Genomic DNA, 14,361 nt, shown 5'->3' with positions numbered 1-14,361 from the left:
TGTTATCCGCCCACCTCAGCCTCCCAAAGTGCTGGGATTACAGGCGTGAGCCACCATGCCCGGCCCACAGATTTTTAATCTATCTAAGCAACTGAGAGCTGTACTTGAATACATGGCAACTTACATGTAGTGTTGTCTATACATAACATATTCAATCTTTAAAGTACTTATAAAGTTATTACTTTTTATTTAATTTTTTTTAAGAGACAGTGTCTTGCTTTCTTGCCCAGTTGGCCTCAAGCTCCCAGGCTCAAGTGATTCTCCTGCCTCTCCTCCCTCAATTGGGACTACAGGTGCATACCACTGTGCCTGGCTAAAGTTACTACATTTTAAAAACATATGTTAAGATAGAAAGTGTCTATAATCTAGGAACTTCTAGAATTTCAGAAACATGGAAAATAGCTTCCACTATAGTGACTAAAATGTGAATTTGTGACAGATCTTCCTTTAAAAAAATTAATTTGAATCTACCCTGTAGTTATTTCCCCAATATTTCCAAAAATAATAATTATTGGCCAGGCATGGTGGGTCACACCTATAATCCCAGCACTTTGGAAGGCTGAGGCAGGATGATTGCTTGAGCCCAGTTGTTTGAGACCAGCCAGGCAACATGGTGAGATCCTATCTCTACAAAAAAATTAAAAAATTAGCTGGGTGTGGTGGTGCAAACTTGTGGTCCCAGCTACTTGGGAGGCTGAGGTGGGAGGATCGCTTGAGCCAAGGAGGTTTAGGCTGCAGTAAGCTGTGTTCATGCACTGCACTCCAGCCTGAGCAACAGAGCGAGACCCTGTCTCAAAAAATAAGAATTATTATTATGCTTAAATTAAGTGTTCTAGAGCCTCAGCTTTCTCCATAAAATTCTGCCTAGTTTATAGGCAAATTTATACGGAAAAAATGATCACTTATAATTAGCATACTCAGCATCAGAAATGATATGATAGGTGAGTAATCTAATACTGGTTTTCCAGTAGAGTAATTAAATATGACCAAAGGTGTCCTTTTTTAGCTGAAGACGTTCCCCTCTTGGGTGGCTCAAATGACGTAGGGAATGGCAGGCTATTAAGGCACTTCTGTCTACCATCTTTGGAGAGCCACGTCAAAGCTGTGCTTTTCTCCTTTTCTTCCTTTTTCTCTTGATTCTTCTGGGTCAGGATGAGCGCAATCATTGTCAGGGTTTTTCCTAAGCCCATATCATCTGCTAGAAAATAAAAGCAAAATTAAGAGAGTTAATTGCTTAGGGCAAATAATCAACCCTAGTTCAAGAGGAGAAACCACTGGCAGACATTTCCCCATTGTTCTCTGTCAGTGCCACTCCGTCACTACTCTGTGCCTACCTTAATGGCTCCTTTATCTTCCTTATTCAGCAGAACCCTAGCACTTGCTCTTTACTTTGAGATCTAGGTCCAAGACATTTACTATGACTCTTGTAAAATTTAAAACTTACAATTTGAATATTATTCTAGTCCCTATGTTATGTTATTACCCGCACAATGTGCTGACTGATATCTATTACAGTTTGATGATCCCTTACCTCCAAAAGCAAAAAATGTCCAGTAGATATATCCTACTACTTACTTTACCAGTACCAGAACATTCCTGGAGTTAAAATAGCCTTCCATTCCCTTAACTTATTCATCAAAAGAGGACATAAATGAACATTTCTTGGGTACTGTCATTGTACCAATCACTGAGCTTATCTAATTTATTATTTATACTCTACAGAATACGGTTATCCTCATTTTAACAGACTGCAACATTGAGGCTACTATAACCCATTCAAAATAATCATTCTGCCATAACAGAAGTGGAATGTCAGAGCATGGGCTCTGATTTAAATTCTGGCTCTGCTACTGTCCAGAAAAATAATTAACATAGCAGGCCCATAGGCCTGCCTGCTATCCTTTGAAAGGCCTGCTTACAAGGTTGCCTCTGGAAACTCGGATGTAAGGTAAGAGTTGCTCACTCTGCCTAAATTGTTTTGTACAAGCAATATGGTTTATGTTGAACACCTGCTTTCCTTCTAGGAGTAGGAAAACTTGGTATATACCAGGCTGAAGCCACCTGTGTAACCAGCTGAAGTAACCAGCCCCCAATAAAAACCTTGGGCATTAAATCTCTAATGAGCTTCCTAGGGAACCTTTGACGCCTGTTGTCACAACTCCCTGCTGGGAGAATTAAGCATATCCCATGTGACTCCACTGGGAGGACACTGGAAGCTTGTACCTGGTTTCCCCTGGATTCTGCCCCTGTGACTTTTCCTTTTGTTGATTTTGATCTATAGCCTTTCACTGTAATAAATCACAGCTGTGAGTATGACCATATGCTGTGTCTTACTAGCAAATCATCGAACCTGGGGGTGGTTTTGAGGACCACTGACACAGTCACTTACTAGCCATAGTGGACATCTATCATGGTTTCTGAAAATTGAACACCTTAGAAAATTTTAGCCTGACAAGTCCCCAAAGCAGAGTGGAAAACTTGCTTTCTGGTTTCTGTTGCAGCTAAGGCACTGGCAATATGACCTGGCTCTATATATCAGATGTACTCATAAACATCTTTAATTCAGGTATAAGCAGCTTTAGAAAGAGACTCCCTATGAAATCCTTTCTGCAGGAAACAGTGGCTATAGAAACAACTGACTTTGGGGTGGCACTGGTTGCCTCTAGCACTTGGTGAAGCAAAGTAGCTGTGATGCTTTTTATAGACTACTTTTAGGCCAGGTGTAGTGGCTCATGCCTGTAATCCCAGCACTTTGGGAAGGCCAAGGCAGGTGGAGCACCTGAGGTCAGGAGTTAGAGACCAGCCTGTCCAACATGGCGAAACCCCATCTCTACTAAAAATACAAAAAATTAGCCAGGCGTGGTGGCATCTGCCTGTAATCCCAGCTACTGGGGAGGGTGAGGCAGGAGAATCACTTGAACTTGGGAAGCGGAGGTTGCAGTGAGCCGAGATCGCACCACAGCACTCCAGCCTGGGTGACAAGAGCGAAACTCCATCTCAAAAAAAAAAAAAAAAAAGAGGGAGGCAATAGACTGCTGTTTGTGTGTTGGCTCTAGCCATGGCTCCTGAAATTGGCCTCGAGCCTGGCACTCCGTATCTCCTAGAGATTGTGGGAGCCACCAAAAAATAAACTCCTCCTCTCTTTAATCAGCCAGAGTCAGCTTCTACTGCTGGCAACCAACATCTTTGATCCTAAACTGTGTATTCTTGAGCAAGTTGCTTAACACTTCCATGCTTCACTTTCATCATCTGTAAAATGAGGAATAATAGTACCTGCCTCATAGAGTTCTTGAGAGGAATAAATGAAACAACACTACGTGTTTAGCACAATGCCTAAGCATTCAATAAAGGCTGACTCTTATAATACCACACTTACCCAGAATTCCTCCTTGTGGCTTCTGACTTTCTCGCCATAGTAACCAAGCCAATGCCTGCTTCTGGTGTAGTAGCAAAGGGACCTGACAAAGGTAATAACCAAATGCTAAGCATAAATTCCTAATGAGAGGCTATGCCGAGCCTGGCTACACGAACTCTACACTCTCCTATTTTCTACAAATGATTCCCTCAGTATTCTGTAGACAGTTCATTTCACCTTGAAGTCCTTAACAGCACCCTCTCTCAAGGGTAACCATACTGTCCTGGTCTGCCCCTGTTTGTTTTGGGTTGCATCTAATGTTCAGCATTTCTATTAAGAGTCCCCCCTACACCCCAAGTGAGAGTCCTGATTTGTCTGCTTAATCAGTCAAAATCAGTCTCTACAGCTTTTATTTTTTTATTTTTATTTTTTTGAGACAGCCTCGCTCTGTTGCCCAGGCTAGAGTGCAGTGGCGTGATCTCAGCCCACTGCAGCCTCCGCCTCCCAGGTTCAAGCAATTCTCCTGCCTTAGCCTCCCGACTAGCTGGAATTACATGCGTATGCCACCATGCCCAGCTAATTTTCTTATTTTTAGTAGAGATGGGGTTTCACCATGTTGGCCAGGCTAGTCTTGAGCTCCTGGCCTCAAGTGATCTGCCTGCCTCGGCCTCCGAAAGTGCTGGGATTATAGGTGTGAGCCACTATGCCCAGCTCTCTGCTTTTAACCAAGACCTCTGACCCTATTTTCAGCAGCCATTACATTGGCTTTTCATTATTTCCTCATTATCTCTTAAATTTGCCTCTCCTTTCTGCAGCCAATGTCCCAGTCTGCACTACTGGTCATAAATTTCAATAGCCCTTTGACCAGAGTCCCCCTTCTAGTCTTCTGTACTCCAGTTTATCTTGTACTCTGTTAAGAAAAACTAATCTTCATCAGTCATCCCTGCTTAAATGCTACAGCGATTCCATACTATCTCTTGAGTTATTCAGATCTAATCCTTCATCAATGCCAGGCTCCTACTCAGTAACATCACCTGCTACTGCTGGCTCAGGTACTGATGACAGCTGATCACCACTTCTGAATACCAATCTCTTTATCTTCCCACTAGTCACCACTCCCTCTAATTGCAGCGTTTTATTCCTTTCCTCTCTGCTATCTAAAGGCTTTCAACCTTTAAGGCACAAAGTAGGCAGACAACAAATAATCACTGACCTAGAGTGATGTTTCCTTTATTCTGAATCCCTTTTGTACTTTATAGTATATTACAAGGCACCCCTTATTTCTGCCTTAAAGCCTTTGCTAATTGTTTTATTTACATTGTATATGTATTTTCACCCCAACTAGTTCATTACAAGCAACAATTCCTTCACATTCTTGTGGCACCTACCAACTCAACAAATGGATCCTTTACTGCTACAGAAATAAGTAACTTTATGACTTTTTAAAAAAGGGGTTTTGTTGTTATTGTTTGCACTGTTAAGCATAAAAGGAGAGGATGCTGCAAGGGAAGCCATTTAAGCATCTGTCTGTAGGAAAGGTATCTCAGAAAGTCTCTCTGCCAGCAGTTTCATGGGGCTGCTGGAGCACTGTCATAGAGGACTACACCAGGAGTCTTCCCTGGCTCACCTTCAGCCCGGCGGGATCTTCTGCCACAACCGTCTCACCAGGACATGACTCAAGTGAGCGATGCAGTTGACCGATGGCTTCACTTGTGATTTTCCACACTGCATGAACGTGATCTTGGTTTGTATGGCCTGCATACAAATAGGTGTTACCTAAAAGATGTCACAAGTATGTTTTCTTTATCCCTTTAGAGTGAACTTAGCTACAAATGGCCCTGTATCTGTTTCTTACCCTCCTTGTTAACTACTCTCCTCAACTTTCCATGTCTCTAGCAGTTCTCAGTTGGGAAACAAGTGGCTTTTGCTTTTCTGGTCACTGCCAGCCAACCCAATCTCCAAGCTCCTATCTCCTGATCAGTCTCCTGTCAACTGATCCTATTACACATTTCAGGCTCCACTTGGAATCTTCATTCTGCAGTTACCTCTGAATTCAAAGTTGCCTAGAAAGTTCAGGAAGGAAACACTTAGCTAATAGGGTGTTATTGCTCTCTGTGGATCTATTAGTCATCAGTCTTGACTCATGTCTCTCCTCAGTCTTACACACACTTACACACACACGAAAGAATAAGAGCATATCTGCAGGTCTGCCTACCTCATAATGATGCGAGCTAGAGTTTTCATCCACAAATGCTGACTGGATGACTCCTATGTGCCAGCCACTGAGCTGACTAATCAGCATACAGTGGTGAACAAGGTAGACACAGTCTGTGCCCTCACAGAAAGCTAAGTAACACGATGCAAAGCTCTACTGAGCTGCACAATCTTTATTATATGGGCAACTTCTGACTTAAGAATGGCTTCTCCCCTCATGTGGGCACAAAGACATCTACGGTAGTCCCTCCTTATCCACAGGGCGTATGTTGCAAGACCCCCAGTGGATGCTTGAAACTGGATGGTACTGAACCCTACACATACTATGTTTTGGCTTTTTTTTTTCCCCATACGTACATACCTATTTTAAACTTTAATACATTAGGGACAGAAAGCATTTAACAATAATAATAAAATAGAAGAATTATAAGAATATACTGTAATAAAAGTTATGTGAATGTGGTTTCTGTCTCTTTCTCTCTCAAAATATCTTACTGTACTGTACTCACCTTTTTTTGAACCACAGGTGACTAAGGTTAACTGAAAGTGTGGATAAGAGGTGACTACTGTACCGGGTGGCACGTAACTCACAGGGGTGGCTATTCACAGCAGGGTCAGGCCCTTGGGTCTTACCTCGATAGCACTGACTGGATCCTCCAGCAGTCACCTGGCAGGCAGACTTTAGTTCTAGAGAACCCACAGGTTGGGTACCACGACGAGGAAGGGGTTGGGGAGGCACCAGGTGGGGAGGGCCAGTGGTAGTTTTGGTGAAGTGACTCTGCTGTGGTACTTGACTGTTACTCTTCTCATTAGTTCCTGCTCAGAAAACAAGGGAAGAGCAGATTAAAGTTCAGCAAACTAAGTGAAGGGACCATATGTGTGGAGGTGAGGTCAAGAGAGAGGGATCATCACCATTCCGATGAAGGATTCCTAGAGAAGGTAGCATTTTAACAGTTGCTTAAACAATGGGGAAGAAAGTAGAGTCCACAGGAAACAGGAGAAAGTTTTTTATGAACCATAGGTGTAATGTGAAAGAAGTCTCAGAAGCAGATAATAAAATGGAAAAGTGAATGAATCAACACATTCTTTATTAAAAGGGCTTCCCGAATGTCTCTTGTAAAGTCGATGCAAACCCGGAGTTCTGAGGCATAAGCCACTTTACCTTGCTCTGGGGAAAGGGTAAGACCACTGAGTACTTCCTCCAGCTCCTGGATTTGTTTGATCAACTTCTGACCCTTGTCTGGAAGAGCCTGGATGTTCACTGATGCCAGTGTGCTCTGAAAAACAGATTCCATCAAATGGATCTCTCCTCTCACACTGTTAGATGAATAGTTTCAGATTAAAATAGCCTGAAACACCCAAACTCTGAAATTATGGTCTTTTAAATATGTGTGCAAAAACCAGAACCTTTTTTAAATTTTAACCCAGCTGGCTTACCAATCTTGAAAATATAAATAGGGGAAAAGGCAGAAACTGAACATGCACCTATAAAACCTTCACATGAACATATTTAACCCTTCTGTAGCAATGAGATCTCATATCTGCCCATAACAAGCAATGCTCTGACCTCAGAAACAAAACACGAGTCAATAGTTACCTTCTTTTGTTTCAGTTGTGTTGTAAGGTAGACACGCCGGGCTACTGGGTCTGAGGGTTCTACCTTCTTGGAAACACCTGAGGCAGGAGACACCTTTCTTTGCACACTTCGATCAGGGAATTGGAGGTTTTCCTTCGTCTCTAAGTCCAGAGTCGAGTCAAAGAGTAGGGGGCTCCCAGGCTTAGAGGAAACAAAAACAACATCATCTTCCTCCTCGTCGTCACTGCTTGTGGCAGCTTCACGGCCCTCACCCAGGGAAAGCCCTGGTGCTGCTGGTGCAGCCTGAGCCGCTGGTCCTCCAGGAGCAGGCACACTGTGGGTCTCCGGCCGCTCTTGGAAATGCCCCTGAGGCAGGCTTTTCTGGGTGGCCTGTATGCTAGGGCCATCCTTTGCCTTTGTTTCTTTAGCCTCCCAGTTCGTGTACTCCTTGTTGAGGGGTCCCCCTTTCTGGGGCTTGCTTATTGAGTTGTGACTGTGAACATTTTGAGGCAAAAGCTGGGTAACCTTTTCTCTCAGAGGTTCTGATTCTCTTTGGACATCTTGACTCTTACCACTTGATTTCTCCTGAGAAGATGCAGATGGTCTTGTAAGCTCATTACCTTGGCACTGTTGAGATTTAATTTCAGAAAAGTCTCTTTTGTGTGTGCCTCCAGTCTCTGCCTCACACTGAATCTCTGCTCCCTCTTCTTGCTTCTTCTCTTGAACTACAGATTGTTTTTTCTTTGGTACCAGGCCAGATGAGAGGTCTTTCTCCATCATTTCAGGCTTCTGTTCTTTCTTTTGATCGAAAAGCTGATCTCCCTTTTCTCTTTGCTTCTTATCAGCCTTCTTTTCCTCACCTTCACCTTTGATGAGCTGTTTCCAGAGAGCTGGTTCTTGATTCTTGTCAAGTACCTTGAATGGATTTCTCAGCCAGTTGGAAGAATGATGAAATGTCTCAGATGCATGCTGAGACTTATTGGATACAGAATGTTCTTTGGAATCAGGATCCTAAAGACAAAATAATTAATCTTCATATAAAATATTAATACAAACTTCGTATCTAGAATGCCTTTCCTTTTCATCTCAACTTTTATTTTATATACAGGGGGTACATATGCAGCTTTGTTATATGAGTATATTGCACTCAGGCAGTGAGCATAGTGCCCAATAGATAGTTTCTTAACCCATGCCCTCCTCCCCTCTCCAGTAGTTCACAGTATCTATTGTTCCCATGTTTATGGGTGCTCAATGTTTAGCTCCTGCTCGTGAGAACATATGATATTTGGTTTTCTGTTCCTGCATTAATTCACTTAGGATTATTCTGCAGAAGAAATGGAAACACAGTAAAAGCAGTCCAATATTTCCTGAACATTCTTGGTACCATTTCCACGTCTAGAAAAGATGACGTGCCAAACCCACAAAGGACTCATTTCTTCACGATACTTTCGAAGCTTGGTTCCTTCTCTGTCCATGATCACTCTTTTCCAGGCCTCAAGGAAAAGTAGTGACAAACCAAAGTGCTTTTACAATCACAATGGCCACAGTGTATACTTTTCAGGAAAAAAACTATTCTCTTAAGATGAACTTTTCCCCAAACCTAAACATTGTCTTAAAACACTTGCTTTGATTTTGGCTTTAGGAGGATTTTACTGTGGTAATCTAGAATCGTAAGTTCAAGCCACACCTCTGCCAAAACAAGTCTTATCACCTCCCTACTTCTAGTTCCTCACGTACTGAATATCTGTAGGGCTTCTCCTATTAGGAGATGCTCCTCCTAGTTCTAACATACTAGGAGCTTATGCTTATACTTAGCTTATACCAGTATCAAGTAGAAATTCCTCTATAAAAAGATACAAGAGTTAGTCAAGGAAATCTATTTTTTTCCTTGAGTAAAAGAATACTGACTACATTTAAGACCTCAAAAAATATTTACTAAGTGAAATAGGATGCAAATAATTAATCTTGATTACGACTAAATGATCCTTTGAATAAAAGTCCCAACAGGGCCTACCTTGCTTAAAGAAAACTATCTTTCGGAGACAGTCTGATGAAGACCAACTCATTTACGTGAACTTCAAGGTATTTTCAGGTGATGCTGCATATTAAAAGTCTTAACACAGCAGGTTTGAAAACAGATGAATAATTCCTACCTGCCATGGAATACTTCCACACCAGCGTTTCCCCTCTGCCTTACTTCTAATGCATCGGAAGAACAATCTAATGAAGTATAAAACACAAATAATCAAGGCTATGAAAATCCATTAGAACAAGAGATAAGCTTATTTTTAATCCAAGAAAACATCTTGCAACTATTTGAACCTGGCTTTGGGAGGTCACTTGAAACCAATTACTTTTATATACACATTTAAAAATTATTTACTGCACAGAACATTTATAAGGGCTAGGAAGTCCAAGAATAAATATGGCATGGTAGCCAGAGAATGCACACAGGTTTATTCTTTTTAGTCTGTAACGAATGACTGAAATAGAAACACTGATCAGCAATGGCTACTAAAATCAGAGAAATGAGAGACAGCCAGACACTGTGTGTCCCTGAAGGGGGGTCACAACACTAGCTACAAAGCAATGTTGCCCCAAAAAAAACCCCAAAACAACGAAGCCAAAACAAACAAAAAACTAACCTCTAGATCCAATTACCAATTTATAGGAAATAGAAACAACAGAAGAAGGCGTAAAACTATACTGTGGAGAATATAACCTTCAAAATCTTGGCAGTGGGAAACGCTATAGGACAAACAACCTGATCCCTTCCACAAATAAGTTACGAGGGAGAAAAAAAGATGAAGGGAAAACTTCAGAGACTTAAAAGACATATTAATCAATTCCAATTTGTGAACCTTATTTGGATCCTGATTTAAACAAATTAAAACTACTAAAAAAAAACTATGACATTTATGAGTCCACTGAAAATATGTAAACCAACTGGTATGTTAAAAGAGTGCAGCTGGATGCAGTGGCACACACCTATAGTCCCCTCTACTCAGGGGCCTGAGACAGGAGGATCATTTGAGGCCAGAGGCTGCAATGTGCTAAGATTGTGCCTGTGAATAGCCACTGCACTCAAACCTGGGCAACACAGCAAGACTCCCTTCTCTAAAACATACAAATATTTTTTAAAAAATAGTTCATATCTTGGCCGGGTGCGGTGGCTCACACCTGTAATCCCAGCACTTCGGGAGGCTGAGGTGGGCGGATCACGAGATCAAGAGATCGAGACCATCCTGGCCAACATGGTGAAATCCCGTCTCTACTAAAAATACAAAAATTAGCCCGGCGTGGTGGCACATGCCTGTAGTCCCAGCTACTCAGGAGGCTGAGGCAGGAGAATCGCTTGAACCCGGGAGGCGTAGGTTGCAGTGAGCCGAGATTGCACCACTGCACTCCAGCCTGGCGACACAGTGAGACTCTGTCTCAAAAAAAAAAAAAAAAAAAAAGTCCGTATCTTTTAAAGCTACATACTAAAATATTGACAGATGAAATAATGTTATCTGGGATTTTTTTCAAAATAGGGCAGGAGTTACGGGGTGAAGTGGATAGGATACATATAGAACAAGAGTAGCCATGAGCTGGCAATTGTTGAAGCTCATGCTACAGTACCCTATCTTACTTCTGTATATATTTACACTCTTCCACCAAAAAAAGAAGGCTGAATACAGATTTAACATCCCAGTGCAAGAAAGTTCCTGCACACACAAACACAGCCCATACTCCAGCTATCCAGAGGTGTCTAAGCTGTTCCACTGCCGAACTAAGCCATGCACCCTCCAGTCTACTAGACTTTGCATGGGTACTACTCTCCATCCAAAGGATATCCTCATCATCCCAATCTGTCTACCATCTCCCCCATCTCCAGCTACGGAAGTCCTACTGGTCCCTCAAGGCCCATCTTAAGTCGTACCTGCTTGGCAAGGTTTCCCCACATTCCCTTCCCTGTTTAATCCATGAACTGCCTCTGTGCCATTACTTTTAATGGCAAAAAACACAATTACATTTACACCAACCTAATAAAGCTGACTGTCCAGCTATAAAATATAGCTGACTGTCCAGGTATATTTTCAGCTACTAGAGGGCAAAAACCATACATGATCTCTTTATTCCCAACTATGACTTGCCTGTTGTACGTAATTAAGTATTGCTGCATAAAATAGAACTGATTTATGTAATTACCTAAAATAACTCCTCAAAAACTTTTAATTGATTAAATAAGAGCTTTAAAAATATATATTTTGTCTGCTGAAATAGGTAAAGTATTCAATCAATAAGTATTAAAAACACAGTGAGAAGCCCCCTCATACCCTATCTGCCCAGTTCACTTCTCTCCCAACATGTAACTGCTCATTAGTTTTTTGTTTACCTTTCCAGAGATTTTTAAATGCATATTCAAGTCAATATACATTCTTTCTTCCTCCTCTACACAAATGGGTAGCATAACATACATACTGCTGAATACCTTGCCTTTCTTTTTTTACCTAATACCTTGAAAATTTTTCTATAATAACATATATGTAAGGAAGATCCTTGTTTTTATTATTTTTTTCCAGTTGTGGTTTTCCACTGTATGGGATGTTGCATTATTTTTAACCAGAACCCTCTTGGTGGGCGGTTCAGCTGTTTCTTATCCTTTACTATTAAAAGCAGTGGCACAAGGAGTGAAACTGTGCATATGTCATTTCATGTACATTTCAATACATCTGTGGTGCAGCTCCTTATTTCTCATGTTATGTATTTGTGCTGTTCTTCTTGACCAGGTTAGCCTCTGATTTTCTTTATTAGTTATCTATATGCTGCTTTCTAACTCATTAAATGCAATTTTTACCAACATTAATTCCTTCCTTCTGCTTTCCTTCAGTTTAATTTATTGTTCTTTTTCTAACTTCCTAAATTAGTCCCATGATGTACAACATGAATCACAACAGTCTGCATCCTAATTCAGGGGTCCTGAGCAGGTCCTGGTCCCTTGATGCCACTACTTCACCAGGACACATAAACAAAGATGAACAAGCCCAAATGGACAAGTTGTCCATAAAAGTTAAGCTAAAAAGAAAATAGGTCCAGCCCCTCCCTCTTGTACAAACACAATTTTCCCATCCAAGTTCACAATTTTTAAAATCTTACTGGTTTCTTTAATTTTTCTCATTGCAATAGGATATTATATTAAACATATGTAATACAATTTCTGAAATGCTTTGAATGCATAAAATTCAAAGTAACAGCTGCCATCAGTGGGTGCTACTACTTACAGAAATAAATCAAGAACAAACTCCTGCTGTTGTTTAAAGCATATCAAGTACTTGAAATCTTTACTGAAAGAATATTTCATAAGTACAGTCCCGTGCTGCATGATGATGTTTCAGTCAACAGTGGATGGCACATACAACTGTGGTCCCATGAGATAATACTGTATTTTTACTGTACATTTTCTTTGTTTAGATATACAAATACTTAGCACTGTGTTACAAATGCCTGCAGTATTCAGTAAAGTAACACACTGTACAGTTCTGTAACCTAGGTATGTATTAGGCTATACCAAGTAGGTTTGTGTAAGTTCACACAGTGACGTTCACACAAAAATGAAATCTCCTAATGACGCATTTCTCAGAATATGCCCCCATTGTTAAATGACTCATGACTGTAGTGTCTACTTTAAAACTCATGCCATGTAGACTTTCAGGAGAAGGGCAAGATTTGCAGAACTAAGGAAAGAAACACACTGAACATCTGCTATGTGCTAGGCACAGTGCTAAAAATGCTTTCCCTTACATTTTTAATTAAAATCAATCTGGATGAGCTTTTCTGATTTTAGGATAATAAGTTTGTTTGTTACGTTTTATTATATTGTAAATCAACAAAGAATGCAGTGGAAATATATTTTCGCAGAGAAAGCAAATATCAATTCCACTATAAGAAAAGCATTAATTTCTGCAGTATGTTTATTAATTGTTTTCCAGGACAGAGGTTATAGGCAATAACGATGAAGGGACCAGCTAGAAGAAGCCAGACCTCTTCAATCCTGACTTCTTCACCAAAACACAAATCCTCCCATTTTCCTAAAGGTAATGTCCAACTCAACATCACACTGCCAAGTGCATTCACTTTAGCAAGGCTACAGTTCTCTCAGGCTCCAGAACTATTCTCCCTTGGTTCAAATCCCAGCCCTACCACCTAATTAGTTCTGAAACATCAGACACCTTAATTGACTGCCCCCTGTGGCAGTTTCCTGTTCTGTAAAATGGCAAAATGATATAGTCCATACCTCATACGGTCATGATGAAGACAAAATACAATCAGAGCAAAGCCTGATACATACCAAGGTCTTAAAAGACAACAGCAATGCCAAGCTCACACTGGCTGATCACTCTGCTTATTCCTACATCCACACTTCTGCTGAAGCTGTTCTGCCTCAACACTTCCTTGTCCTTTCCTCCATCAAAATTGTCAAGGTCATTCAAGGACAACTTCAAGTCTCAACTCCTCTACTTTCTCTGTAACCTTCCTAGCCCTGAACTGTATGTCTTAGAGTCACAGAACCATCTCGCATCTGAACGTCTTCAATTTAGCGCTCTAATGTGCAGAGGAGACTGCACCCCAATCTCAGTACATCTAACTCTTATTCCAGCTGTGTCAAAGGCTCCTTAGGGATTATGAGTTCACATCTTTACATGGTCCAGCTCTGGAAAAACATAAAGCCGAATGTCTACCTCATTCTTTTACACGAACTTTCAAGATGGAAAAAAATGTAAAAGTAAAAAACAAAATTGTAAATGTTCTAGGAAAAAAAACAGATATGAATATTCTTGTAGTCCTAAAGTGAAGAAGGCTTTTCTAAGCCTGGGATAAAACTCTGAAGCTGAGAAATAAAGAATTTAGTAATTTTTAAAAGTTTACACTACCATATGATGAAAATACCATAAGCAAAATTGTAAGACAAAAAGCAAACTGGGAAAACGTAACTACCACACATATCACAAAGGGTTACTATACTTTATACAAAGGGATTGCTCGCACTGCACAGTGCAGTGCATGGTACTGTACACCGCCTCACAAGTATGGCTTTATTCAGTGGTCCTTCACAGCTGGTGGGGCCTGAGGTTCTGGCTGGGTCTGGCGCATGCCTGGTTGCCTCTCTATCACCATCCTGCTCACTATACTAGGGCTAGATAATCTGCAGGTCAATTTCACCCAATAGCCAACA

The 14,361-nt window shown here is 41.0% G+C and overlaps 1 protein-coding gene across 22 annotated transcripts in view, besides 1 other annotated feature; it reads right to left on the bottom strand.

The window, feature by feature from the left end:
• The window catches only part of TTF2 (transcription termination factor 2), a 47,128-nt gene that overhangs the window by 24,428 nt on the left and 8,339 nt on the right, over positions 1-14,361 (bottom strand). For 8 of the 22 annotated variants that reach the window (XR_007064424.1, XR_007064425.1, XR_007064427.1 and 5 more), the window contains exons 4-10: positions 9,299-9,365; positions 7,167-8,156; positions 6,732-6,846; positions 6,203-6,385; positions 4,983-5,131; positions 3,377-3,458; positions 1,079-1,198 (exon numbers count right to left, since the gene is read on the bottom strand). Coding sequence is in view for 17 of the 22 variants with exons in the window: in XM_017002550.3 (XP_016858039.1) it covers positions 1,079-1,198; positions 3,377-3,458; positions 4,983-5,131; positions 6,203-6,385; positions 6,732-6,846; positions 7,167-8,156; positions 9,299-9,365 (1,706 nt within the window). In the remaining 5 variants the exon portion in view is untranslated. The remainder of the gene's footprint in view (positions 1-1,078; positions 1,199-3,376; positions 3,459-4,982; positions 5,132-6,202; positions 6,386-6,731; positions 6,847-7,166; positions 8,157-9,298; positions 9,366-14,361) is intronic. The other 14 variants (XR_007064426.1, XR_007064429.1, NM_003594.4 and 11 more) reach the window with 3 other exon arrangements.
• Positions 4,948-6,147: an enhancer, noted in NCBI's record as "CDK7 strongly-dependent group 2 enhancer chr1:117619501-117620700 (GRCh37/hg19 assembly coordinates)". NCBI's record gives its function as "activates an origin of replication core promoter dependent on BRD2, BRD4, P300/CBP, MED14 and CDK7 cofactors, with strong dependence on CDK7, by STARR-seq in HCT116 cells {active_cell/tissue: HCT116}" and the evidence as "EXISTENCE:reporter gene assay evidence [ECO:0000049][PMID:35650434]".

Source organism: Homo sapiens, chromosome 1 (assembly GCF_000001405.40).
Source record: "Homo sapiens chromosome 1, GRCh38.p14 Primary Assembly".
NCBI lineage: Eukaryota > Metazoa > Chordata > Mammalia > Primates > Hominidae > Homo > Homo sapiens.
This window is presented reverse-complemented; position numbering and strand designations above follow the sequence as displayed.